The 26,322-nt window shown below is 41.6% G+C and overlaps 1 non-coding gene across 1 annotated transcript, besides 3 other annotated features; it reads left to right on the top strand.

Moving 5' to 3' along the window:
• Positions 15,606-16,293: an enhancer, noted in NCBI's record as "NANOG-H3K27ac hESC enhancer chr8:59584567-59585254 (GRCh37/hg19 assembly coordinates)". NCBI's record gives its function as "activates a minimal SCP1, AML or CMV promoter by ChIP-STARR-seq in naive H9 embryonic stem cells {active_cell/tissue: H9 hESC(naive)}" and the evidence as "EXISTENCE:reporter gene assay evidence [ECO:0000049][PMID:30033119]".
• Positions 15,942-16,150: a silencer, noted in NCBI's record as "fragment chr8:59584710-59584918 (GRCh37/hg19 assembly coordinates)". NCBI's record gives its function as "represses an EF-1alpha promoter that drives an FKBP-Casp9 reporter gene in an ReSE screen in K562 erythroleukemia cells {active_cell/tissue: K562}" and the evidence as "EXISTENCE:reporter gene assay evidence [ECO:0000049][PMID:32094911]".
• Positions 18,356-19,043: an enhancer, noted in NCBI's record as "H3K27ac hESC enhancer chr8:59581817-59582504 (GRCh37/hg19 assembly coordinates)". NCBI's record gives its function as "activates a minimal SCP1, AML or CMV promoter by ChIP-STARR-seq in naive H9 embryonic stem cells {active_cell/tissue: H9 hESC(naive)}" and the evidence as "EXISTENCE:reporter gene assay evidence [ECO:0000049][PMID:30033119]".
• On the top strand, positions 25,957-26,060 carry LOC124902083 (small nucleolar RNA U13). Its single transcript, XR_007061214.1, has one exon. It is a non-coding gene; the product is annotated as a small nucleolar RNA U13 (small nucleolar RNA).
• The last annotated feature ends 262 nt before the right edge of the window (positions 26,061-26,322 follow it).

Below are 26,322 nucleotides of genomic sequence, written 5' to 3'. Positions count from 1 at the left end.
CTAATGTTCTTTGTGTAGCATACAATTACAAAGCCTTTCAGCAAGTTTAAATACAATGACACATATATGGACACTTGTTTACATTGGGGTTCTCTGGTTACAAGCCAAAAACCAGATGTTGGGGTTCTGGCTAACTTAAGCAAAACTGAAGTTATCTGGAAAGCTCTTAGGAGTACACAGAATCAATCAGCAGGCTGGACAAGTGGGGTTTGAAGGGGCAGGAACCCAGGTATCTCAAGGGACTAGTAAACAAGAACAGGAATGGTGTGGTAGCAAGAACAGTTCTTCCTGGGCAGTACTGCTAAAATAAATCAACTTGGCCCTTCTTAGTCTCTGCCACTCCACTCAAGATTTAAATCTTGTGGATGATACATCAGTTGGCATAGCTTGGGTTATGTGCCCAACCATCAGCTTGCTGAAGCAAAAATGTCTGACTAACAAACAGTTCCAGCAGACTAAATCCAATGAGACATGACAGTCCTCAAAAGGAAATTGGTGTTCTATGAGAAAGACACATTAGACTCTGCTTGTCATAACCGCACAAGCCTCCTCTATACTTGCATCCTAAAGTCAAATTTAACTCGACGTAGTAACAATTGTTACAATGCAATCACTATTAAGTCATATCATTTTTAATCTACAGTCACTCACTTGGAGAGAATAGACGCTTAATCCAATAAAAGGGCTTTGTTATTTTTCAAAATTACTAATTTATGAGACACTAGGCTGAAAGAACATAGTGAATGAGTAGTAAAACAAATAGCCAGTGATACAACAGCATCAGAAAGCTCAAGCCATCACCACCCATCTGGATCACCACAGACCGTGATCGTTGTGATGGCACAGTGTGTAGCAGTGGAGAAAGTGACATGCTCTCGGGCCAGAGCTGCATTTCAGCCCACAGAGCTCCTGCATGTAGCTGCTGCAGCTGCAGTGTTGAGGGAGTCGTGGCTCAGTTAATGAGCATTAAAATACCGTTCCTCTAGAATTGTAGCCGGGGAACATGATCATTTACTCGGGAAAATATCTGAAACATTTTCCCTGCTGGATAGAGAGAGAAAATTAAATGATATAAAATAAACTCCTAGTTCTCCATATGTGAGCTCTCCACATTACGGATTGTCAGATCAAGAGCTATTATTTGTCACCATGGCCCTGAAGCTGGTCTAGATGTGACAGTTGAAAAATTATATGGATGAAAAATTATATGGATAAAAAATATGTTTCTCTGCTTATTTACATTGTGTGCTCCACAAAAGCTACAGGAATAAAGAATGTTTCTTAAACTTGAGGCTCTATTTTAGTTAGCACATTACTTTTCTTGTTCCAAATATATCCCTTCAGCCAAGTTAGAAATCCATCTTTTCTTTTCACGGTCTGTTATTGTGTTCATCACCAAGTTTCTTAGTGGCTATTTTCTCCAGGATGGTCCCAAAACTTTTACCTTCTCATAACAATCTCCATTCATTTTTCTTTTCTCTTTTTTTAATAAGGTATCATTTTCTCTTGTAGCAAAGGGCCAAGATGTCTTTCCTACTTTTGCACCATTTATTACTTATATATCTTAGCAAAATCTCTTTTATATTGAAGTGATACATTTAAGACTCAGGTTATCAAAACAGTCAGAAATCTGGCCAGTCATGTGGATAATTAGAATTGTTTTCAGGACTGTGATATTTTTACCCTTTCCTGAAATGACAGGTATGTCAAATAAGACATGTATTTCTCAAAAGCTCTGTCGGAAGCTTCTGGATTCTAGAATGTACTCATAGTTTTGTTTATTTAGCAGTTCTCAAACTTTTTCATCTCTTAAACCCATTACATTACCAAAATGCAGTGAGAACTTTTGTTTATGTAGGTTACATCCATTAATATTTATCATATTAGAAATAGTGAAGAATTTTTAACGCATTTAAAGTCTTTTTTAATGTGACAATGAACTCATTACTTTTTAACATAATCGAATTTAAAAATGTTTTTCGTTTTCTTTTTTTGGGGTGTGGGGGTGGGGGTGTGGACAGGGTCTTACTCTGTCACCCAGGCTGGAGTACAGTGGTATGATCTTGGCTCACTGAAATGTCCACCTCCCAGGCTCAAGCAACCCCCCAACCTCGGCCACCCCAGTAGCTGGGACTATAGGTGCTCACCCCCATGCCTGGCTAAATTTTTGTTTGTTTGTTTGTTTGAGACAGAGTTTTTTTGCCATGTTGCCCAGGATGGTCTTGAATTCCTGGGCTGAAGCCATCCTTCAGCCTCGGCCTTCCAAAGTGCTGGGATTATAGGCATGAGCCACTCACCGTGCCTGGCCAAAAACATATTTCTAAAATAAAATGAATTAGGAGACTGGCATGCATTGTTTTACGTTTTGGTTGTTTCTTAGTGTCTGGCTTAGGAGAAGAAGGCTAGATTCTAACAATCTGCTTCTGATCTATGTCATTTTGGTTGAAATATATGAAGAAAATCCAGTCTTACATGAATATGTGGTTAGAAAGGTGAAGAGTATGTACTAGCCTTCTCAGATAACTGGATAATCTTCTTGGGTATGACACTGAAATTCACCTAGTGTTAACTTCTCAAACAACAGCTGCAGTGGGACAACAAAAACTGAGTCATTGAACTTTCCTTCCTCTGTTACATCAAAGCCCACCTGTCTACCTCAGTCATTAAATGGCTCTTTACCCATGTGTGATTTTGTAACTTGCAAATGTTGACAAATTTTATTATAACAATGTCAAAAAATCACACTTGTTAATATCTCCATTGATCTCAACATTAAGTACAGGGAGACTGTGAAGCTCATAATGGTATATACAGATTTTTTAAAATTCCGATTTTTGCTTAAAGCTATCTGTGTGCGTGCACACACACACACACACACACACACACACGTGCGTGCATGTTCAGAGGTTGCTACTTTAGAGTCTTAGAAACAGAATTTCTTTTTTTTTTTTTTTTTTTTTTGAGACAGAGTTTCACTCTTGTTGCCCAGGCTGGAGTGCAGTGGCACAACTTTGGCTCACCACAACCTCCACCTCCCGGGTTCAAGCAATTCTCCTGCCTCAGCCTCCCGAGTAGCTGGGATTATAGGCATGAGCTACCACAACTGGCTAATTTTTGCGTTTTTAGTAGAGAAGAGGTTTCACCGTGTTAGCCAGGCTGGTCTCGAACTCCTGACCTTGTGATCCACCCACCTCCGCCTCCCAAAATGCTGGGATTATAGGCATGAGCCACTGCACCCGGCCCTAGAAAGAGAATTTCTTAGTGATTGGAAAACATGATCATAGGTCATGATTCCTAGTATAAATGACCAGGAATCATGATCAGATCTTTCTGCAGGTAAATCATTTCTTCTGCCCACTTTCATTTTCTTGTTAAATATTTTATTATGAAAGTAATATAAGTTCACTAAAGACAAATCATAAAAATAAACAAATAGACCATAATCCTACTAACAAAGGTAACATTGTTAACCTTTTTCAGTACATGGTACTCTTTTTCTTTATTTATTTTTTATTTTTTATTTATTTATTTATTTATTTTAGACGTGGTCTCACTCTGTTCCCCAGGCTGGAGTGCAGTAGTGTAATCACAGCTCACTGCAGACTAGATCTCCCACGCTCAAGCGATCCTCCTGCCTCAGCCTCCCTAGTAGCTGTGACTACAGGTGTGTGTCGCCATGCCTGGCTAATTTTGTTGTTGTTTGTAGAGATGGAGTCTTGCTATGTTGCCCAGGCTGGATCTACTTTGTCTTAAGTATTCATTAGACCTATCTAGGAAGAGAATAATAAAAAGTAGTGCATGTGCTAAATTCACTTTCACATTGCCCATTTCGATTACAACTCTTAGCCTGGTTTTTAATTGTTCTTTCTCAAAAACAATCCCATTACCACTTCCATACTGTCCTATAATAGTTATGGTTGCTGTATCAAATTACTATAAATATAATTACTTAACACGGCACAATTTATTATTTTACCATTGTGTAGGGTCTCACTGAGCTACAAACAAGGTGTTGGCAGGGCTGTGTTCTTCTCTAGAGGATCTAGGAGAAAATCTGTTTCTTTGGTTTTTCCAACTGGAAGATGCCTGCACACCTCAGCTCAAGACCTCCTTCCTCTGTCTTCAACGTCAGCACAGCTGGATTGACTCTTCACACTGCCACCTTTCTGGTTCTCTCTCCATAGTCATGTCTCTCTCTGACCATAGTAGGAAAAGATCCGTGTGATTTGATTGAGCGCACCCAGATATTCCAGATTAATCTCCTCATCTCAAATTCCTTAACCATATTTGCTAAGTCTCTTTTCCCCATGTGAATCAAAATTCTTGAAAAATAAATTTAAAAAGGACTTTATTCCAATGAACAGTTTGCAAACCAGGGAGACACAGCCTTTGGTGTAAACTGAAGGTGTGTTCTAGAGAACAAAGAGAAAGTTTGTCTTTTATTGAGATAGTTCTTACTTAGGTTCCCACTCAAGTCTACTTATGCAAATAAAGAATTCAAACTTGCTTACTTTTGATTGGTTGGCATTTGCTGAGTTCTGATTGGTCAAACCAGGTCACAGCCTATTGATTGGTTCATGGGGATGTAAACAGGAACAGCCAACTATGAAGTTCCCAAAGTTAAGCAGATGTGTGGGTTTTCTGGGAGTTCAAAGTACATGTGTGACCTCTAGTCAGCAAATGGCTGCTTGGCTTTAATTTGAATTTAAGCACGGTTAGCCACTCAGGATTCATTCTGAGGGATTGAACCATTCAGGGTTCACACCATGTAAGGTAAGTATTCACAGGATTTGAGAATTCAGGTGTGGACATCTTTGGAGATCTACCGTTCTGCCTTCTTCCTTTGTTGGCAGCATTCTGAGGAAGTTTCATTATTCTCAAAAGTAATTTATGTAATTTTAAAAGTAATATGCTATAACTTCAACGTCTTCACTGGATATCTTATTCATCAGTCAGTGCTCAAGCAGAGATGTATGTCTCATTTTGTCCTAAATATATTATTTTAAGGCTTCTGTTCTAATTTCCACACTCTTTATGTATCTAGAGACAGATAGTACATACATCCCTTACTTTTATTTTGTACCTTTCGTTTGCCAATACCCTTTAAATAAACACATTATTTATGACCATCTTCAATGATCCAAAAAAGGTCTTCTTTATTTTGCAACTAAAATCTCTTAAATGTTAAGGCCACATGTGGTAAAATACATGTCACATTAAAATTACCATTTCAACCATTTTTAAATATACAGTTCAGTGACATTAAGTGCATTCACATTGTTGTACAACCACTGCCACTATCCATCTCCAGAACTCTTCCATCTGATAAAACTGAAACTCTGTACCCATTAAACAATAACTCCCCACTATTCTCTCCTCTCAGCCTCTGGCAACATCCATTCTATTTTCCAGCTTTATGATTTTGATGACACTAAGTACCTTATTTAAGTAGAATTATACAGTTATTTTTTTTTTGACTGGCTTATTTCATTTAGTACAATGACCTCAAGTTTCACCCATATTGTAGCGTGTATCCGAATTTTCTTCTTTTTTAAAGCTGAATAATATTCCATTGTATGTAATACCGTACCGCATTTTGTTTATTCAAAGTGAATACTTTCAGTGAACCCTTGTATTGCTTTCATATTTTAGCTGTTGTGAATAATACTGCTGTGAATGTGGGTGTATAAATATCTCTTCGAGGTTCTGCTTTCAGTTCTTTGCAGTATATATCCAGAAGTGAAATTGCTGAATTATATTGTAATTATATTTTTAATTTTTGAGGAACCACCATTCTATTTTCCACTGCAGCTGTACCATTTTACATTCCCACCAACAGTGCACAGTGGTTCCAATTTATCCACCTCCTTGCCAACACTAATTTTCTGGGGTTGTTTTCATTCAAAATCTTTTTTTGTTTGTTTTTTTGAGACAGAGTCTCTCTCTGTTGCCCAGGCTGGAGTGCAGTGGCACAATCATGGCTCACTGCAGCCTTGACCTCCTGAGCTGAAACGTTTCTCCTACCTGAGCCTGCCAAGTAGCTGGGACCACAGGTGCATGCCACTATGCCTAATTAATTTTTTCAATTTTTTGTAGAGACGAGGTTTCACTATGTTGCCCAGGTTTGTCTCGAACTCCTAGGCTCAAGCTATTCTCTCATCTCGGATCTCGGCCTCCCAAAGTGCTGGGATAAGAAGCATGAGCTACCACTCCCTGCCTTTTTTTTTTTTTTTTTTTTTTTTGAGATGGAGTCTCACTCTGTCGCCCAGGCTGGAGTGCAGTGGCACGATCTTGGCTCACTGCAACTTCTGCCTCCTGGGTTCAAGCAATTATCCTGCCTCAGACTCCCGAGTAGGTGGGACTACAGGTGCCCACCACCACCCCTGGCTTAATTTTTGTATTTTTAGTAGAGGCGGGGTTTCACCATGTTGGCCAGGCTGGTCTTAAACTCCTGACCTCAAGTGATCTGCCCGCCTTGGCCTCCCAAAGTGCTGGGATTACAGGTGTGAGCCACCACTCCCGGCCCTTTTTTTTTTTTTTTTTTAATAATACCTGTCTTACTACATGTGAGGTATCTCATTGTGGTTTTAATTTGAATTTCTCTACTGATTAATGATACTGAACACCTTTTCATGTGGTTATTGGCCGTTTGTATATCATCTTTAGGGAATTGTCTATTAAAGTTCTTTGCAGCCTGGCGCAGTGGCTCACGCCTGTAATCCCAGCACTTTGGAGGGCTGAGGTGGGCAGATCACCTGAGGTCGGGAGTTTGAGACCAGCCTGACCAACATGGAGAAACTCCCTCTCTACTAAAAATACAAAATTAGCCAGGCGTGGTTGGTGCATTCCTGTAATCCCAGCTACTCGGAAGGCTGAGGCAGGAGAATTGCTGAACCGAGGAGGTGGTGGTTGCGGTGAACCGAGATCACGCCGCTGCACTTCCAGCCTGGTCGACAAGAAAGAAAACTCCATTTCAAAAAAAAAAAAAAATTCCTTTTTGCATATTTTAAAATCAGGTTGTTTGGGTTTTTTTTTTTTTGGTGTCTTTTTGACTTTTAGGAGTTCTCTATATATTTTGAATATTAATCTCTTATTAGACTTACAATTTGCAAATATTTCTTCCAAATTGTGGGTTGTCTTATTCTGCTGATAGTGTCTTTTGATACATAAAATTTTTCAATTTTTATGAAGTCCAATTTGTCTATTTTTTCTTTTGCTGTCTATGCCTTTCATGTCATAGCCAAGATATTACTGCTGAACACAATGTCATAAAGTTTTTGCTCTATGTTTTCTTTCAAGAAGTGTTATGTCTCACATTGATGCTTTTCATCCATTTGAGTGATTTGTTTGTATATGGTGTTAGTTAAGGGTCCAACCTGATTCTTTTGCATGTGGATATCCCATTTTCCCGGCATTATTTATTGAAAAGATTATCTTTTCCCTCCCTATTGAATGGTCTTGTCACCCTTGTCAAAAATCATTTGACCATGTACATAAGGGCTTATTTCTGGGCTCTCCATTTTATTCCATTGGTCTATCTGTCTTTCTTTATACCAATATATGCTGTTTTAATTACTGTAGATTTGTAGTAAGTTTTGAAATCAGGAAGTGTGAGTCTGTCCGCTTTGTTCTTCTTTTTCAAGATTGTCTTGGCTATTTAAAGTTCTTTGATATCCTATATAAATTTTAGGGTAGAGTCTTCTATTTCTGGAAAAAAACATCACTGGGATTGTGATAGGGATTGCATGAAATTTGCAGATTGCTTTGGGTATAATGGCATCTTAATACTAATTCTTCAAATTCATGAACATGGGATGTGTTTCTATTATTTATGTCTTCTTTAATTTTTTTCAGCAATGTTTTAAAGTTTTTCATTTAAAGATTTAATACAAATCTTTCACCTCCTTGGTTATATTAATCCCTAAGTATTTTATTCTTCTTGATGCTATTGTAAATGGAATTGTTTTCTTAATTTTGCTTCTGGATTGTTTATTGTTAGACAAACATCGCCTTTTAAGCAATGAAAGAAAAGGAGTCTATATTGTCTGGAGAAGGGCAACTGAAGTGGCTGAAACAATGGGAAGAGAAACTTCACTGACAAAACAAGCCACAAAGTAGGGCATCTTCAGTTTGTCAGTGTGTGGATTGGAAAGTCACGTATCAACAGAGCACACATAATTCAAAATCACCTGAATAAGATAAAATGGATTTGTCAGCCAATCTCAAAATGCTAGTTTTAGGAGCAGTCTCTGAAACTTGAACAAGGTCAGTACAGTAAATAAGAGGAAGTCCAACCTCACAAAGTAGGTAATAGACTAATAAAGTTGTAATTTTCATTCTTTCAACCAGTACTTACTGATGAAATACACGTGAGACAGACACTCTGCCAATTGCTAGGAATAACAATTAAGATAACCTCTGTGCTTAAATAGCTCTTATTAGAGTAAGGTAAACAAACATATAAATAAGTAATTACATTATAGTATGATCTAAAACTAGTTCATGAGCAGGAAACTATGAGAATGCTGGAGGTTCAATACCTACTTTGTTCTGTTTAAGGTGTGAGTATATAAAAAATGGTGATTGGAAATGGCTCAAAGAGAAGGTGAATTTTGACTTGAATAATGAATGATGAGTTGGTTGGAGGGGAATTACCAAATTCAAAATAGCTTGGCAAAGTCTTAGGTGTGTGAGTGTGCACAGGAGATTCAGTGCAGCTCATGCCCCCAGTAAAGGCATCCCTACCAGCCTTCTGCATCTTGGAGAGATGCAGAAAGTGAGCAGTAACCATAGCCATTGAGCCATAGATTCAGGACCAAAGATTACATATTTTTTTGCCAACTTTCTCCCCATGCCTCATCTCTCTATTTACCTCTGCCATCATTAGCAGTCCAAGCTTTTCAGGCCATTGGCTGACTCAGGACACTCATTCCCAGTCTGGTCCCATCTCTCATACTTCCCCATCCTGCCCCAACTTTTAGTCCTTTGTCCCGTGTAACCCTGAGTTCTCACACCTCAAGTAACTTAGTACAAAGAGATAACTGTCTTCCTTGCTTTGCTGCATCCAACCATTTTTTTCCTTCCTCCTTTAAAAACTAGAATTCCTTAGAAGTTAATGACACCAGGCTATACCATTTGATATCCAAGTTAGTTGTTATAATCTACTGGCATCTTGGGAAACCCACCTGATTCACGAAAGGCTTTGGCTCTGGACTCAGTGAGTTTCTCTCCTCCTTATTTCATCATTATTCTTGATGACATTCACACCCAATGGCTGACCCATCTAATATTTTAGCTTATTGGCTCTTTCATCTTGTCACCTCCAATTGTGTGTCTTATTCTTCTTGGACTGCCATAACCAAATACCATAGATTGGGTGGCTTAAACAACAGAAATGTATTTTCTCATGGTTCTGGAGTTTGAGAAGTCCAAGTCAAGGTGCCAGTTGATTCATTTTCTGGTGAGGGCCCTCTTCCTAGCTTGCAGACAGTGCCTTCTTGCTGTGTCCTCACATGGCAGACAGAAATAACAAGATTTCTCTTTATTCTTCAGTACTATCAGATCAAGGCCTGATCCTTATGACCTAATTCAGTCTTAATTACCTTCTAAAAACTCTATCTCTAGATACAATCACATTGGTGTTTAGGACTTCAATATATGAATTTTTGGAGGCGGGACAACACAATTCAGTCCATAGCACCGTGTTTTCCTCTACCTTTTGGTGCCATCTTGGTTGCCAGTTATTTTCTTTGTAGCATTCATCATGATCTGCAATTATTTTATATTGCTGTTGTTTATAGTCAGTTTTACCTAGTAGAAGTTCTGTAAGAACTGAAACCATATCTGCCTTATCCATGCTTATCCCCAGCCCTTGACATTGTTCAGGTGCACAAATGTTGAATTAATAAATGAATGGACTAAAATTTCATGCAGGAAAAATATTTAGAAACAAAGTACAAAAGGTAATCAGAGAAAGGTTCTTAAAAGACATCATGTGCCTCTCTACGGAGCTAAATTTTCCCTTGGGGCTTTTGTGAGCATCCAGGAGATGGCCCCAAGAGATGGGAGAAAACATGCATTCTGATAAAGACTTGTATTCAAATGTTGATAGGAGCTTTATCCATAATAGCTAAAAACACTGAACACAACTCAGATATTCATAAACTGTTGAAGAGATAAATTGTGGTATCTCTATACTGAATTACTGCTCAGTGATAAAAATGAATAAACTACTGGTCCACATAGCAATGCCAATAAATCTCAAAGCACCATGCTAAGTGAAGGAAGTCAGATATGAATTATTGCACACTGTATAATTCTATTTGTGTGAAATTCTAGAAAACGTAAGCCTATAGTGACAGAAGGCAGATCAATGGTTGCCAGGGACCAGGAATGGAGGCAGGGACTCCTTACAACATGACACAAGGAAACACTGTAGGATGGTGAAATATTCTATATCATATTCATGGTGGGGGTTACATGACTGCACACATTTGTCAAAACTCATCCAACTGCACACTTAAAATTGATCAATTTCACTGTATATAAATTATACCTCAATAAACCCAATTGAAAATGGATTTACAAATGTATAAACATTATAAATGGCTACTAACAGAAACTAAGGAAAAGCAAACCTTAGGATTGATGTCAGAAACATCAAACTTGTCCTCTACCCTCTTACCCTCTTCCTTTTGAGGCCACTATTTCCTAGGAGGACTTTTGAGATAAGAACTGTGAGATAAGATTGTTCTGGAGCAGCTCTTCTCCCTTGGGTATGGACAAGAGTGTAATGATTTATTTTCTTCCCATGAGGTCCCTTAGAGCTTTACTTCAAGTAATGAGAATTTCTCATTCTTATCAGTTTCTTTGAAAGACCTCAGAATTGCCACTGGAAACATAATTACAAAGAAAGTAGACTCTGAGTCAGGCAGCCATGGGATCAAATCATGTCACTTTTACTTACTAATTGAGTGGATTGCTTATGTTATTAAACTGCACAAAGTCTCTCCCCCTCCCCCTCCCTCTCCCTCTCCCGCTCCCTCTCCCTCTCCCCTCTTTCCACGGTCTCCCTCTGATGCCGAGCCGAAGCTGGACTGTACTGCTGCCATCTCGGCTCACTGCAACCTCCCTGCCTGATTCTCCTGCCTCAGCCTGCCGAGTGCCTGCGATTGCAGGCGCGCGCCGCCACGCCTGACTGGTTTTCGTATTTTTTGGGTGGAGACGGGGTTTCGCTGTGTTGGCCGGGCTGGTCTCCAGCTCCTAACCGCGAGTGATCCGCCAGCCTCGGCCTCCCGAGGTGCCGGGATTGCAGACGGAGTCTCGTTCACTCAGTGCTCAATGGTGCCCAGGCTGGAGTGCAGTGGCGTGATCTCGGCTCGCTACAACATCCACCTCCCAGCAGCCTGCCTTAGCCTCCCAAAGTGCCGAGATTGCAGCCTCTGCCCGGCCGCCACCCTGTCTGGGAAGTGAGGAGCGTCTCTGCCTGGCCGCCCATGGTCTGGGATGTGAGGAGCCCCTCTGCCTGGCTGCCTAGTCTGGAAAGTGAGGAGTGTCTCTGCCCAGCCGCCATCCCATCTAGGAAGTGAGGAGCGCCTCTTCCCGGCCGCCATCCCATCTAGGAAGTGAGGAGCGTCTCTGCCCGGCCACCCATCATCTGAGATGTGGGGAGCGCCTCTGCCCTGTCGCCCCGTCGGGATATGAGGAGCGTCTCTGCCAGGCCGCCCCGTCTGAGAAGTGAGGAGACCCTCTGCCTGGCAACCGCCCTGTCTGAGAAGTGAGGAGCCCCTCCGCCCAGCAGCCGCCCCATCTGGGAAGTGAGGAGCGTCTCCGCCCGGCAGCCACCCCGTCCGGGAGGGAGGTGGGGGGGTCAGCCCCCCGCCTGGCCAGCCGTCCCGTCCGGGAGGTGAGGGGCGCCTCTGCCCGGCCGCCCCTACTGGGAAGTGAGGAGCCCCTCTGCCCGGCCACCACCCCGTCTGGGAGGTGTACCCAACAGCGCATTGAGAACGGGCCATGATGACAATGGCAGTTTTGTGGAATAGAAAGGGGGGAAAGGTGGGGAAAAGATTGAGAAATCGGATGGTTGCCATGTCTGTGTAGAAAGAGGTAGACCTGGGAGACTTTTCATTTTGTTCTGTACTAAGAAAAATTCTTCTGCCTTGGGATCCTGTTGATCTGTGACCTTACCCCCAACCCTGTGCTCTCTGAAACATGTGCTGTGTCCACTCAGGGTTGAATGGATTAAGGGCGGTGCAAGATATGCTTTGTTAAACAGACGCTTGAAGGCAGCATGCTCGTTAAGAGTCATCACCACTCCCTAATCTCAAGTACCCAGGGACACAAACACTGCGGAAGGCCGCAGGGTCCTCTGCCTAGGAAAACCGGAGACCTTTGTTCACTTGTTTATCTGCTGACCTTCCCTCCACTATTGTCCTGTGACCCTGCCAAATCCCCCTCTGCGAGAAACACCCAAGAATGATCAATAAAAAAATAAATAAATAAATAAATAAATAAATAAATAAAGAATTACCAGACATCTGGTATAGAAATTACCGTAATGTACCTTGCATACTAAATTATGAATATGTTAATTGCATTATTAAAATATTTTAATATATGGTTAACATTAAAAAAATAAAAAATAAAAAAAATAAACTGCACAAAGCCCAACTTGTCCTCTTCTGAAGATTGGATATAATAGAACAATCTCACCAAGTGATCTTAAAGATTTGCTAAGAAGTCAAGCAGTTCCTGAGGAGCAGCTGGTGACAACTGTTAGTCTGGCTTCCAAATATCCTTGAATTTAACTGGTAAGGACACAATGAACCCAAATGGATTTAGACAGTTTATTACTCACGACAGGGCAGACATTGTGAGCTTCATCCAAGCACCAGCTTCCCTTGCCTGTCAGGTACATGGGGGTGATAAAGACACCCAGGTGGGTGTTGCACACACAGCGGTTTGGAGCACTCCTGAAGAATGCCAAGCTTAGGACCCCCCTGGCATTATATGCGGGCTGGCAAACCTGTCCCTCCTGCCCTTCAGAAACAGAAATTATATTTGTTATTCTGGGATGTTAGCAAATCTTCCCTGGGAGGGGAGGGTGAGGTTTTTATCTTTACTACCCAGGAATGGAAAGAGAGAGAGGACAGATAGACAGAGGCGCTGTCTACCTTTACTAAACTGGAATGTAAATAAATCTGCACAAATTGACTATTGATGCTTAGACATGGAAAAATGTAGATTCATGGAGAATTTTCTCCCAACAAGATTGAAGGAGAAAAATGAATGCAAATTACAGAGCTCAGTGTATGCTACAGAGTAATCACATAATAAATTCAGAGGGTAATAATATTGACAATTATGAAGATGAGGTAACAGTGGCAAAAATAGCATATTTCTTTAAACCTGGCACCACCATTCCTCTTAGGAAATGAATTATATTTGTTGGAAAAATGTGTTAATAAGTGTTTGCAATAAAATGTGAACCAAAGAGAAGCAGATGGAACTGCTGTCTTGGAGACCTGGGAAGAAATGTGTTGTTCTAAAGTAGTATTTCTTAAAGAGTGGTCTCAAGATCAGCATCAGCAATACCTGGGAGCTTAGCAGAAATGCAGATTCTTTCTGGGGACAGTCAGGGGTGCTTATAGTCCCATCCACTCTAGAGACTGAGGTGGGAGGATCACTTGAGCCCAGGAATAGTGCCATGGTGAGCTATGATTGTGCCTGCAAATAGCTGCTCTACTCCAGCCTGGGCAATATAATAAGACTTTGTCTCTAAAGCACTTTTAAAAATTGAAAACATGCAGATTCTCAGTTCCTACTTCAGTCCCACTCAATCACAAACTATGGGTGGGCTGAGAAATCTTGTTTTAAACAAGCTGGGTGATTCTGGTGCACACTGAAGTTTGAGAACTGTTGCTCTAGAGAGGGAAAGACGGGGAGGTAAGAAAAGAGGAGAAAGGAGAGAGGGAGAAAATGGGAAGATGTGAGACTGGATTCTTTATGGATGAGCAGCATGAGGAATCATCAGTGGTAGACTTAAGATCCTAAGTAGTAGGCTGAGAGAAGAATTCATGTGGAATTTTTTACAAAGCAGTTTGTACAGACGTTACTCCTCCCTGGACTCACGGCTATCCAGTAAACACTAATACCGTGGGGCTGGGAGGGAGGTCAGCCAGGAAAGGGGCCTCACATGGTGAAAACAAAGACCAGAGTAAAGAACCAGACCTTGGGAGACAGAGGAAGCCATGAAGATAGAAACCCTGAGAGAAATGAGGCCCATTTTGGAAAGGACTTTGAATTCCATGAGGCTTAGAGCCAACTTTGTCTACAAGACAATGCACTAGAGCAGAGGGCCCCAACTCACACGTGAGCCACAATAATATTATGGTGATGAGCCCAACAGATGTCTTGAGTACTGCAAGAAAATACCAAGAGAGGATTACTCTTTCATACGACTAAAGCCTAACGAACGTGGTAATACCGTGTTTAAAAATGATCAAAGATACATTTTCCACTTGACCTACAGGGGTTTGGTTGTTCTATTGGCTCAGCTTATTCATATCTTTATGTTGTAAGGAAGGACTATAAGGAATAAAAGCAGCCATATGGCCTTCATTAAAGGTAGGATCAGATGAGGAATGAGAAAAGGATTTTATAGTTCTTTTTTTTTTTGAGATGAAGTCTCGCTCTGTCGCCGAGGCTGGAGTGCAGTGGCACAATCTCGGCTCACTGTAAGCTCCACCTCCTGGGTTCACGCCATTTTCCTGCCTCAGCCTCCTGAGTAGCTGGGACGACAGGCGCCCACCACTACGCCCGGCTAATTTTTTTGTATTTTCAGTAGAGACGGGGTTTCCCCATATTAGCCCGGATGGTCTCGATCTCCTGACTTCGTGATCCACCCGTCTCAGCCTCCCAAAGTGCTGGGATTACAGGTGTGAGCCACCGCGCCCGGCCAAGGATTTTATAGTTCTTATCCCCAAGAAGATGAAAGCAGAAAGTGAATGCCCATTCAGCTTCATTTGTGATTTTTAGGAGTGTTGGCCTAAAGAAAGAAATTGAGCCAAAATTACTATAGGTAGAGGGTTTATTTGGCCTAAAGTTAAGGACTGCAGCCCAGAAAATACTTCTAAGTTACCTTGGGAAGTGCTCTGGAGAACAAAGGAGAGACTGGAGCTGCTAAAGAAAAAAATGATGAATTGGGAGAGGGAGTGATGATGAAAGTATAAAAGTGGTTTGTCAGGAATCCTCATTAGCTTACAAAAATGACATTGTTAGTAATTGGCTATACACTGTTGAGCTATTAGGTATGAATTATGGTGTCCAGCATATGGCATTATTAGGCTAATTTATAGCTACTGGAGGCATCAGCCAGTCTAGAGGCCATATGACAAGCAACTTCAAAATGATTACTTAGCTCAAGGGGGTGAGAGGATGGGTGGAATATGACTGCAGTCTCATTCCAACACCCCGCTGGGTCCGTTTTTTTTTTCTTTTTCTTTTTTTTTTTTTTTTTTGAGACAGGGTCTTACTCTGTCACCCAGGCTGGAGTGCAGTTGTGTGATCACTGCTCACTTAAGCCTCAATGTCCTAGGTGTGGGGAAAAGAAAGAGAGATCAGATTGTTACTGTGTCTGTGTAGAAAGAAGTAGACATAAGAGACTCCATTTTGTTCTATACTGAGAAAAATTCTGCTTTGAGATGCTGTTAATCTGTAACCCTACCCCCAACCCTGTGCTCCCTGAAACATGTGCTGTGTCAACTCAGGGTTAAATGGATTAAGGGCTGCGCAGGATGCTTTGTTAAACAAATGCTTGAAGGCAGCAGTCTTGTTAAGAGTCATCACCACTCCCTAATCTCAAGTATCCAGAGACACAATACACTGCGGAAGGCCGCAGGGACCTCTGCCTAGGAAAGCCAGGTATTGTACAAGGTTTCTCCCCATGTGATAGTCTGAAATATTGCCTCGTGGGAAGGGAAAGACCTGACCGTCCCCCAGCCCGACACCCGTAAAGGGTCTGTGCTGAGGAGGATTAGTAAAAGAGGAAGGAACGCCTCTTGGCAGTTGAGATAAGAGGAAGGCATCTGTCTCCTGCTCTTCCCTGGGCAATGGAATATCTCGGTGTAAAGCCCAGTTGTATATCCCATCTACTGAGATAGGGGAAAACCGCCTTAGGGCTGGAGGTGAGACATGCTGGCAGCAATACTGCTCTTTAAGGCATTGAGATGTTTATGTATATGCACATCAAAAGCACAGCACTTTTTTCTTTACCTTGTTTATGATGCAGAGACATTTGTTCACATGTTTTCCTGCTGACCTTCTCTCCACTATTACCCTATTGTCCTGCCACATCCCCCTCTCCGGGAAACGCTCGATAGTGATCCATAAATACTAAGGGAACTCAGGCCGGTGCGGAGCGGGTCCTCCGTATGCTGAACACCGGTCCCCTGGGCCCATTTTTCTTTGTCTGTACTTTGTCTCTGTGTCTCTTTCTTTTCCAAGTCTCTCATTCCACCTGAAGAGAAATGCCCACAGGTGTGGAGGGGCAACCCACCCCTTCACTAGGCTCAAGTTTTCCTCCCACCTTACCTCCTGATGAGCTGGGACCACAGGTGTCCTCCACCACGCCTAGGTATTTTTTTACTATTTTGTAGAGACGAGCTCTCACTATGCTTGTTGTCCAGGCTGGTCTCAAACTCCTGTGTTCAGGAGACCCTCCCACCTCGGCCTCCCAAAATGCTAGCATTACAGGCATGAGCCACCGTGCCCTGCCTGGGTCTGGTCGTTTAAAGGAGGCTTCCATTCCTCACATTAAAAGTTTCTTTTCTTTCTCTCGAGGCAATGTGATCTAGTAGTTACGTGACCGGGCTTTGGGTCTAAACTGAGAGATTCCAATCCCTGCTCCTCGACTTTCCAGATGTGTGATCTCATGCTTCAGTTTCCTCATATACAAAACGGGGATGATTGTGCCTGCGTCATAGAATGGTTATGATGACTAAACAAGTTAACATACAAAAAATACTTTAAAAGTAGTACTTAGCAAATGATAACCAGTGGTACTGGTGGCATTAGCAGTAGTGTCCCAGGACCAGTACTGTGGGAAAACAGCCCTTGAAAGAAAAAAGGCAATATCAATGTGTTTGGGGGAAAATAAGTGAAGAAAAGAGCTGAAAGCTTTGTTTTCTGGAGTGGCCAAGCTTAAGGAAAAACAAATCCCAACGGGTAGAGTGTGTGCTGAGAGTCACAAAGGAAACCAAACCAAGCTGAGTTCTCAAGACCATAGCAAAAGAGAAATTGGAGAGGCAGGAGGCAGGCCTGGGCTGGGGAAATGATCCTGGGCCAACGGTGGCTCCTTGACAGTGGTTTCTTGCAAATCATGAAGTAGAAAATTTAAAGGAACACACATTCAGTGTTCTCCTAGTCCAGAAATTGACCAGAGAAAAATGGAAAAAGAGAATCCTTTAGGATGTGCCCTCCAAAAATGCTGTTTATACACCAATTTTTGCATAAGAAAATGGGTAATAAATGTGATTTGGTTTTCAATTACGAAAGTAGTACAGTCCACCCTTAGAGACACGGTTGATTGAATCCATGGATGAAGAACCCACAGATACAGAGGCCGACTATAAAGGACTTGAGCATCTGAGAATTTGGTATTTGCACAGAGAGTATAGGCAAGTCCTGGAATATCCCCAAAACACTGAGGGAAAACTTATACAGAAGTCTCCCCATATGTGTGAGGAATACCTTCTGAGGTCCCCAGTGGCTGCCAGAAACCTCAGATAGTACCGAACCCTATACACACTATGTTTTTCCATCTGATAACTGAGGTGGCTACTAAGTGTGTAAAGGGCAGGGAACATCTGTGGCATGGAGATGCTGGACAAAGGGAGGACTCACATCCCCGGTGGGACAGAGCCAGACAGCAACAGAGAGCATGCAATTTCATCATGCTACTCAGAACACCTAGCAATTTAAAATGCATGAATTGTTTATTTCTGAAATTTTCCATTTAATATTTTTGGCCTGCTGTTGACTGCAGGTAACTGAAACTGCAGAAAGTGAAACTGTGAATAAGGGGCACTTCTATATTCTTTGGGAAATACGTAGGAGTATAAAGAAGAAAACATAATCTCTGTATTCAGAAATAACTGCTATAAACACTTGCTAAATTTTTAGTACACTTAAGATATGTTGAGATAATATAAAATATATCATTTCCAAATATTTCACAAATTCATTGTAGTCATTTCCCTAAGTAATTAAATCTTCTTTAGAAACAGGATTTTAAATGACCACATATTATTTTACTGAATAGATAACAATTTACTTAACCATTGACCTCTTAGTAGAAACTGGATTACTGTTGGTTGTTTGTTTTTGTTTTTTTAACCGAGACTAGGTAGCAGGTATCTAGAGGTTCCCTTGATTGTCTCTCTTAGTTCACATGACTTCCCCAAATCCAAGACTGATGAGGGAAATGAAACGTTCTGTTGCCCAGGCTGGAGTGCAGTGACACGATTTTGGCTTACTGCAACCTCTGCCTCCCAGGTTAAAGCAATTCTCCTGCCTCAACCTCCCAAGAAGCTGGGATTACGGGCACACACCAACACACCCAGCACATTTTTGTATTCTTAGTGGAGACAGGGTTTCATCATGTTGGCCAGGCTGGTTTCGAACTCTTGACCTAGTGATCTGACCCCCTCGGCCTCCCAAAGTGGTATGAATACAGGCATAAGCCACCGCGCCCAGCCCTACTGTTGGTTTTTAACTGATTAAACATAAAACTGGGACAGACACTGTGGCTCACGCCTGTAATCTCAGCACTTTGACAGGCCAAGGCAGGAGGATCACTTGAGCCCAGGAATCCAAGAGACCAGCCTGGGCAATGTAGAAAGACTCTGTCTGTACAAGTTTTTTTTGTTTTTTTTTTTTTTTTAGCTGGGTGTGGTGGTGCTTACCTGTACTCCCAGCTACCCAGAAGGCTGAGGTCAAAGAATTGCTTCAGCCCGGGAGGCAGAGGTTGCAATGAGTTGAGATCATGCCACTGCACTCTAGCCTGGGCAACAGAGAGAGACCTTGTGTCAAAAAACAAAAACAAAACAAAAACAAATTTTGTTGAATCCTGTGATATATTTAAATTGCCTTCCAGAAGAGCCAGTTCACCTGTATACATCTCTTCCCAGCTCTGCATTCAGTGATTTCACGTTGGTAACATGAAATTGGCCATAGTGGGGGTATTTTACACGACAGAAATTGGCAAACACTCCAAATCAGCCTGTTTTCTTCCAACTTGCTGGTTACTAAACATTTACCAGTTTACACTAGAGAAATTTACCAATTTTACTTCCATCAATAGTGTTTAAGCACTTCAGCACTGGACACGACCATTGACAGTACTGATATTTGTCACATCGATATCTGAAAATAGTATCTCATTTTGTTGTAATTTTCACTTACTTTTTATGAAGTTGACATTTCTGTATTTTAGGGCATACAATGTATGTATATCTTAAAATTATGGTTTTATTTATAATTTCCTGTTTATCTTCTAACCTAATCTATACTAATCTCCGATTAGCAACATGCAGAGTAAAAACATTGCTGGATTTATAAAGTACAAGGGAGAAGATCTTAAATGAGGGATGACTTCAGCAATTACCCTAATCTTTACCCAAGCAAGGAAGATAAACTGTGCAGGTGACAGATAACAGATGCCCTCTGGAAGCTGTATAGAACCCATGGAGGAAAAATTGATGCCAATATGGGCATATACAGCTCCTATTTAATTTTTTCCCACTGGACATAAAAAACAGAACCTCAGAAACAGTATTAACTGCATGGGAAAAATCATCTAAAAAAATCCTCTTAAAAAAATGTGAGGTCTTATTCCTCCATTAATTTCAACACTAACTCACATGCCCAGATAACTATGAAAGGGAGAAGAGGAGGCTTGCACCGGCATTGCCAAAATGAGAAAACATAAGTGATTACACGCAATGTCTGCTGTGACTTAAATGTCTCAAATCTCATTACTGCCCCAGGACCTGCTCCTACTCACACACGCATTTTCATTTGTCTTTCCACCCCTTTCTTACTTAACTCATGTACTTTGGGGAATGCTAACTTCTACCTCCAATTCTAGAGATGGCCCAGAGTCTCAGAGAATGTTTCATTTCCCTCATCAGTCTTGGATTTGGGGAAGTCATGTGAACTAATAGGGACAATCAAGGGAGTCTCTAGATACTTGCTAGCCAGCCTGGGCTGGATGAGGTCTCTCACCCTGAGGGAGAAAGTAGGCAGCTGGCCAAATACCAGAAGCTACCTATTACCAGCCATAGGGGAAGGGAACCAGACTTAGAAGGCAGCTAACTATGCGGAAGGCCTAACAGAAAGATGATGAAAAACTGTGTCTCTGATGAACTTATTGAGCCACTGGATTAACGAACATTGATGTATACGATACTTCGGATTTCCAGGTACCTGAGCTACAAATTCCTGTGATGGCTAATTTTGTGTGTCAACTTGACTGGTCCATGGGGTCAGATGTTTGGTTAAACATTATTGTGGGTATGTCTGTGGGGGAGGTTCCTTTTGAGTTGGTGGACTGAGTAAGGCATACAGCCCTCCCAATGTAGAGAGGCCTCAAACAATCTATTGGAGGCCTGAATAGGACACAAAAGTGGAGTAAGAGAGAATAATCTCTCTTTGCCTGACTGTCTTTGAGCTGGGGCATTGTTCTTCTGCCTCTGGGCTTGGGATGAGACTGGAGATTATACAACGGGCTCTCCTGGTTTTCAGGTTCTTGGGCTCAGACTTGGATATATACATTCCAGACTCCTATATATAAACTCCTATTAGTTCTGTTTCTCTGGAGAACCCAGACTCATACAATTCCCTTTGTTATTTAAGCAAAATGTGCAAGAGGAAAGAGCTGATCACAGTTCTATCTAAATTTTCCTGCTGTCCATGTAAGTTTTGAGCTTCTTTCAGGCTTGTAACGCAGTGGTCAAACTTTAAAATGTAAAACATATCATGTCATTTTCCTGCTCTTACCCCTCCAGTGGCCTGTGTCACACATTAATAAAAATAATAAGAAAAAATCCAGTGCTCACCTTTGTCCTGTGGTCTGGGCCCTGCTGCCTCTATCTCTCACCGTTAGTGTGCTCTAGACACTAAAGTGCTGGCTCAGGCTGTTGACCTTGCTATTCCTTCTACCTGGAATGCCTTTTCTCAGGATCTGCACATTCAAGTTTCTTAATTCATTTAGTTGTCAGCTGAAATATCAGTGATCAGAGGAGACTTCTCTGACCCCCTATCTAAAGAAGTTCTCACCCTCTTCATGCTCTATTCCTTACTGTGGTTCAGTTTTTCTTGTGATACTTATCCTTACCTAAATTTACATTATTCACTTTTTAAATAGTCACTCTTACCAGAAGGTAAGTTCCAAAAGGGCAAGGACTTCATATCATTTATGGCTGAGTCTCTAGTACCTAGAACATTTCCTGGCATACAATAAATAGTCAATACCTTTTAATGAAGACGATGTAAAGAAAAAAATAATAGTCTCAGGTGTCATCTTCCTTAAGAATAAGTATCAATATGTATTCCTGGCTAGTTTTCATTTTAGTAATGGGGTACACGTTGCAGATTGACTGACCCGGGAGCCATTCCCAACCTGCTTCTGCCTGGCGGCTTGGCAATATTGAGGCTGTAAGAGTGAAGCACTTGTTTGCCCAGTCTCCACTGCTGCTATGCAAGAATTCTGGCCTGGAAGATTGGTGTGCATTTCTGGGAGTGCTTTTGGTTTACTAATAAGAGAAACACACAAGGCTGGCCCTGCCCTTCCTCCTTATTTCTCCTCAGAAGCTAAGTACAATCATGGTGATGGAACGTGATCTTGTGATCAAAAGGCTACAAGTCTAAGAGAAAAGTCAGGCTTCTATTAACATCTGTGCCATCCATGCCAATGATGAGGAAATGTACTCCAACTATTGACTGAGTTTTCTTTTATTTACAGTATAACAAATCAAAATAGATACACATGCTGACAAAAGAAAGCACAATATTCAATTCAACAAACATTTACTGGGCAACTGCTAAGTGCAAGACACTGTATTTAGTGGCAATGTGGATATAAAGACCAACAAGTCACTGTTTCTGTTCCCAAGGAGATTCTAACCCAAAGAGGGAGATAGGCCTTATAAGGTAAAATGGGGTCACTGTTCACATCCCTATCCAACCATAGTCTCAAAGGCACCTACCCACTAATGCCCAGCTGAATGCGTGACATACACTGATGTGAAATAAATATGTACTGAGTAAGTGAATGTGAGATAAATTCCACTTGGGTGCATTAAAAAGACTTCAAATAAGTTTTGAATGGGAATTTAAAGGACAGGTAGGATTTTCACAGGAAGAAATGGTGGTAGAAAGGTAGGAAGGCATTTTAGACAGAGAGGACAGGAAGCTTAAAAGCATGAAGGCAGTCATAACATGTGTAAGGGAATGGCGATTGCCCATTTTCTTCAGGTAAGAAAAGAATGTGCTACTACAGGGTGAGTATCCCTTATCTGAAATGCTTGGGACCAGAAATATTCTGGGTTTCAGAATTTTGTTTTGGATGTTGAAATACTTGCAGAATACATACTGGTTGAACATCTCTAATCCAAAAATCTGAAATCCAAAATGCTCCAACGAGCATTTCTATTGAGCATCATGTCAGCACCCAAAAAGTTTTGGATTTTGGAGTATTTTGGATTTGGAATTTTTTGATTTGGGAAGCTCAAACTGTATCAGAAATTTTTTTCTCAACAGCCCTCTGTCATGGCACCAGTTGAAATTACCTGGAGATTGAGTACAGAGAATCAACATTAAGAAATTAGTCAGGAGAGAAACCAACTAAGGAGACTGACAAGAAGAAAGAATCAAGGTAGGAGAAAAGCAAAGAAACTGTGGGCTCTCAGAAGTAATGGGAGCAAAGCCCTCCAGTGAGGAGATACGTTAAATGCTATGTTATACTACATTTGATTCTGCTGGTAGCTCAGAAAGATGAAGCTAGAAAAGTGATCAATGAATGTAGTGATTTGACAAGAACCATTACAGTGGAGTGGTGGAAATAGAAGTCCAATTATTATTACTTTTGGAGGCAGGGTCTTGCTGTGTTACCCAAGGTGGAATGCAGTGGTGTAGTTAGAGTTCACTGCAGCCTCAAACTCCTGGACTCAACCTATCCTCTCACCTCAGCCTTCCAAGTAGCTGGGACTACAGGCACGCACCACCATGCCCGGCTAATTTTTTAAAATTTTTTTGTAGAGATGAAGTCTCACTATGTTGCCCAGGCTGGTCTTGAACTCCTGCCTCAAGCCATCCTCCTGCCTCAAGACATCTTCCTGCCTTAGCCTCCCAAAATGCTGGGATTATGGGTGTGAGCCACCACATCTAGCCTGGACGTCCAATTGGAATGGACTCCAGAAAACACAAGGTGAGGCCGGGCACGGTGGCTCATGTCTGTAATCCCAGCACTTTGGGAGGCCGAGGTGGGCAGATCACGAGGTCAGGAGATCGAGACCATCCTGGCTAACACAGTGAAACCCTGTCTCTACTAAAAATACAAAAGATGAGCTGGGCGTGGTGGCGGGCGCCTGTAGTCCCAGCTACTCAGGAGGCTGAGGCAGGAGAATGGTGTGAACCCGGGAGGCAGAGGTTGCAGTGAGCCGAGATTGCGCCACTGCACTCCAGCCTGGGCGACACAGCGAGACTCCAACTTAAAAAAAAACAAAAAACAAAAAAAAAACACAAGGTGAGAAAATGGAGCAGCATGTATAGGCAGATGTTTCAAGAAGTTCCTCTGTGAATGGGGAGTTGGAGGGAGATGTAGGATAAAGGGAAAGTTTTTTGAAAACTACATTTATATTCAAATAGAAATGATCCAACAGTGAGAGAGAAATAGAGAAAGCAAGAGAGAAAAAGAAAGAAGAAAGGGTCATCGCAAAGGCTAAATTGTTGGGAAGAAAGGAGAAGTTGGCCTTTGATAGGAGCAAATATACCTTAAAATAGCAGAAATGAAGACAAAGCATAAGAGGGCAGATGCTAGTAGGGTGGATGCTTTGGTGAGGGGAGGATGAGGGAGCTCCAGTCTCAGTTCTCTCAATTCTCCACGAACACAAACTGTTAAAAAGGAAGCGTGTCTCTTCTGAGTTATTGTTCAAGACAATCCCTTCGATTGTGTTTCTTCCCTTCTTTCTGCCAAAGATAGACAAAATCAGACACTAGTTCAAATGGTAAGGACAGATTTTAATCAGTAATACATTATTGCAATAGGGGTCAGGAGTCAGCACGAATTCAACTTTGATTTGTGCAAAGGTGGACGGACATTTTTGAAGTGAAAATGAGGGAGTAGGGAAGGGGAAATCGGGCTGAATAGAGTAAGGGAATTAAAAATCTAGAAAGGAATGGTCTGTGTAAATGTGATTAGGTCAGCTGTGTCCGCTAGCTGGTCATTATTGAAGTTGAGATTCTATTTTCTCACAGAGCCTGTAAGACAAGGTCCTATACTTCCTAATGATTACATTTCAAAGGAATAGATTTCAGGTCCTTGAGAAAGACACTGTGAGTTGTAGGAGACACATATACATCTTAAAGGGACAGAGGAGTGATTCACAATTGTAAGCCCTTTTTGGTAAATGTTCTAAGAAAGGGTGGTCAGAGTACACCCTTTACTATGTCAGATGTTGGCTTTACTATATCAGATGGGGCCTGTGTCAGATGTTGGCTGGAATGAATAGTAAATTCTTTTTTTTTTTTTTTTTTGAGATGGAGTCTTCCTCTGTCACCCAGGCTGGAGTACAATGGTGCTATCTCGGCTCACTGCAACCTCCACCTCCTGGGTTCAAGCGATTCTCCTGCCTCAGCCTCCCAAGTAGCTGGGATTACAGGTGCCCGCCACCACGCCCGGCCACTTTTTTGTATTTTTAGTACAGATGGTGTTTCACCACGTTGGCCAGGCTGGTCTCAAACTTCTGACCCCAGGTGATCCGCCCACCTTGGCCTCCCAAAGTGCAGGGATTACAGGCGTGAACCACCCGTGCCGGGCATAAGTAGTAAATTCTTTTAATTGCTTTGAGCTTTCTCAGACAGGTACATTAAGTGGGGCTGGGTTATGCTAGGGATGTGGCCTCAAGCTGTTAGAAATTATGTTTGTTTGTTTAAGTCTTTTAATGTGGGGGATGGGGACTGGACTAAATTATTCGTGCTGGGAGTCTGGTTTTTATAGGCCAAGGTTGAGGCCTAGTTGAGAAGTGGGCTCAGAGGAATTTGGCTAGAGTTGGGTTAAGGAGATTCTTTAACAGTCTCTGCCTATTCGATCACATCTAATCTTCCTCTAATGTTTAACTTCAAGAAGATAACTTACATTCTGGGTTTTTGTTGTTGTTTTTTCCTTATTCCAGCCAAATTAATCTCTCCTCTGAACTCACAGAACCTTTTGTAGTACTTCTCATAAAGAAATTTATCATGTACCTTTTGACAAATTTTATTATCTTATTTCATTGTGTACCTGCTCATGTATTTATTTCTTGGCTACCAGACAGCATCACAATTTCCTCCAGGAATGTTGACCTAATGTGTTACAGGTTCTGCACTGCACTTGGACACGTGGAAGGGACTCAGTCACAGTCAAAGGGTACCCAGGCACCTTCATTCATTCCCAAAATTTTTAATGGGTGTGCTCAGTATACATAGCATTTTGTCCAGTGCTGCTAGGGGTCAAATTCAAAAGACCCAGCCACAACTTTTATTCTTGGTTTCCCTACCTTCTCTTCACAGTCCTGCGACTTACTAGAGAAAGCTGAGATGTACATTTACCTTGAAGCTTCTAAAAATGTAACCCTGCAAAACCTGATCCTTAAGACAGTATGAGATATGTTTCCACAAGCATACAATTTAGAGGTTTGGATCCTTTTGTAGTTCATAAGTGTGATGATTGGGTGTTCATGTGCAGCTGTGTGATGTGCCGCCCTTGAACCTTGTTACGAGTTTGGCACATTACCTGTTTAACGTGAAAAAGAAACTTAGAGGCGTGTTATTCAAGAATCCCTCAAAGGTAAACAATCAGAGGCTCATTCTCAGCATATATTAAGAAGTTATAACCACACTGAGATACCACTCATACCACTAGAATAGCTCTAAACAAAAGTCAGGTAATAATAAATACTGGTAAAGATGTAGAGAAACTGGAACCCTTCTACGCTGCTGGTGGGCATGTTAAATCGTACAGCCACTTTGGAAAACAGTCTGGCAGTCTCTCAAACATTTAGACAT

Source organism: Homo sapiens, chromosome 8, assembly GCF_000001405.40.
Source record: "Homo sapiens chromosome 8, GRCh38.p14 Primary Assembly".
NCBI classification, from domain to species: domain Eukaryota; kingdom Metazoa; phylum Chordata; class Mammalia; order Primates; family Hominidae; genus Homo; species Homo sapiens.
The sequence above is the reverse complement of the archived record's forward strand: the minus strand, read 5'-3'. Positions and strand labels throughout refer to the sequence as shown.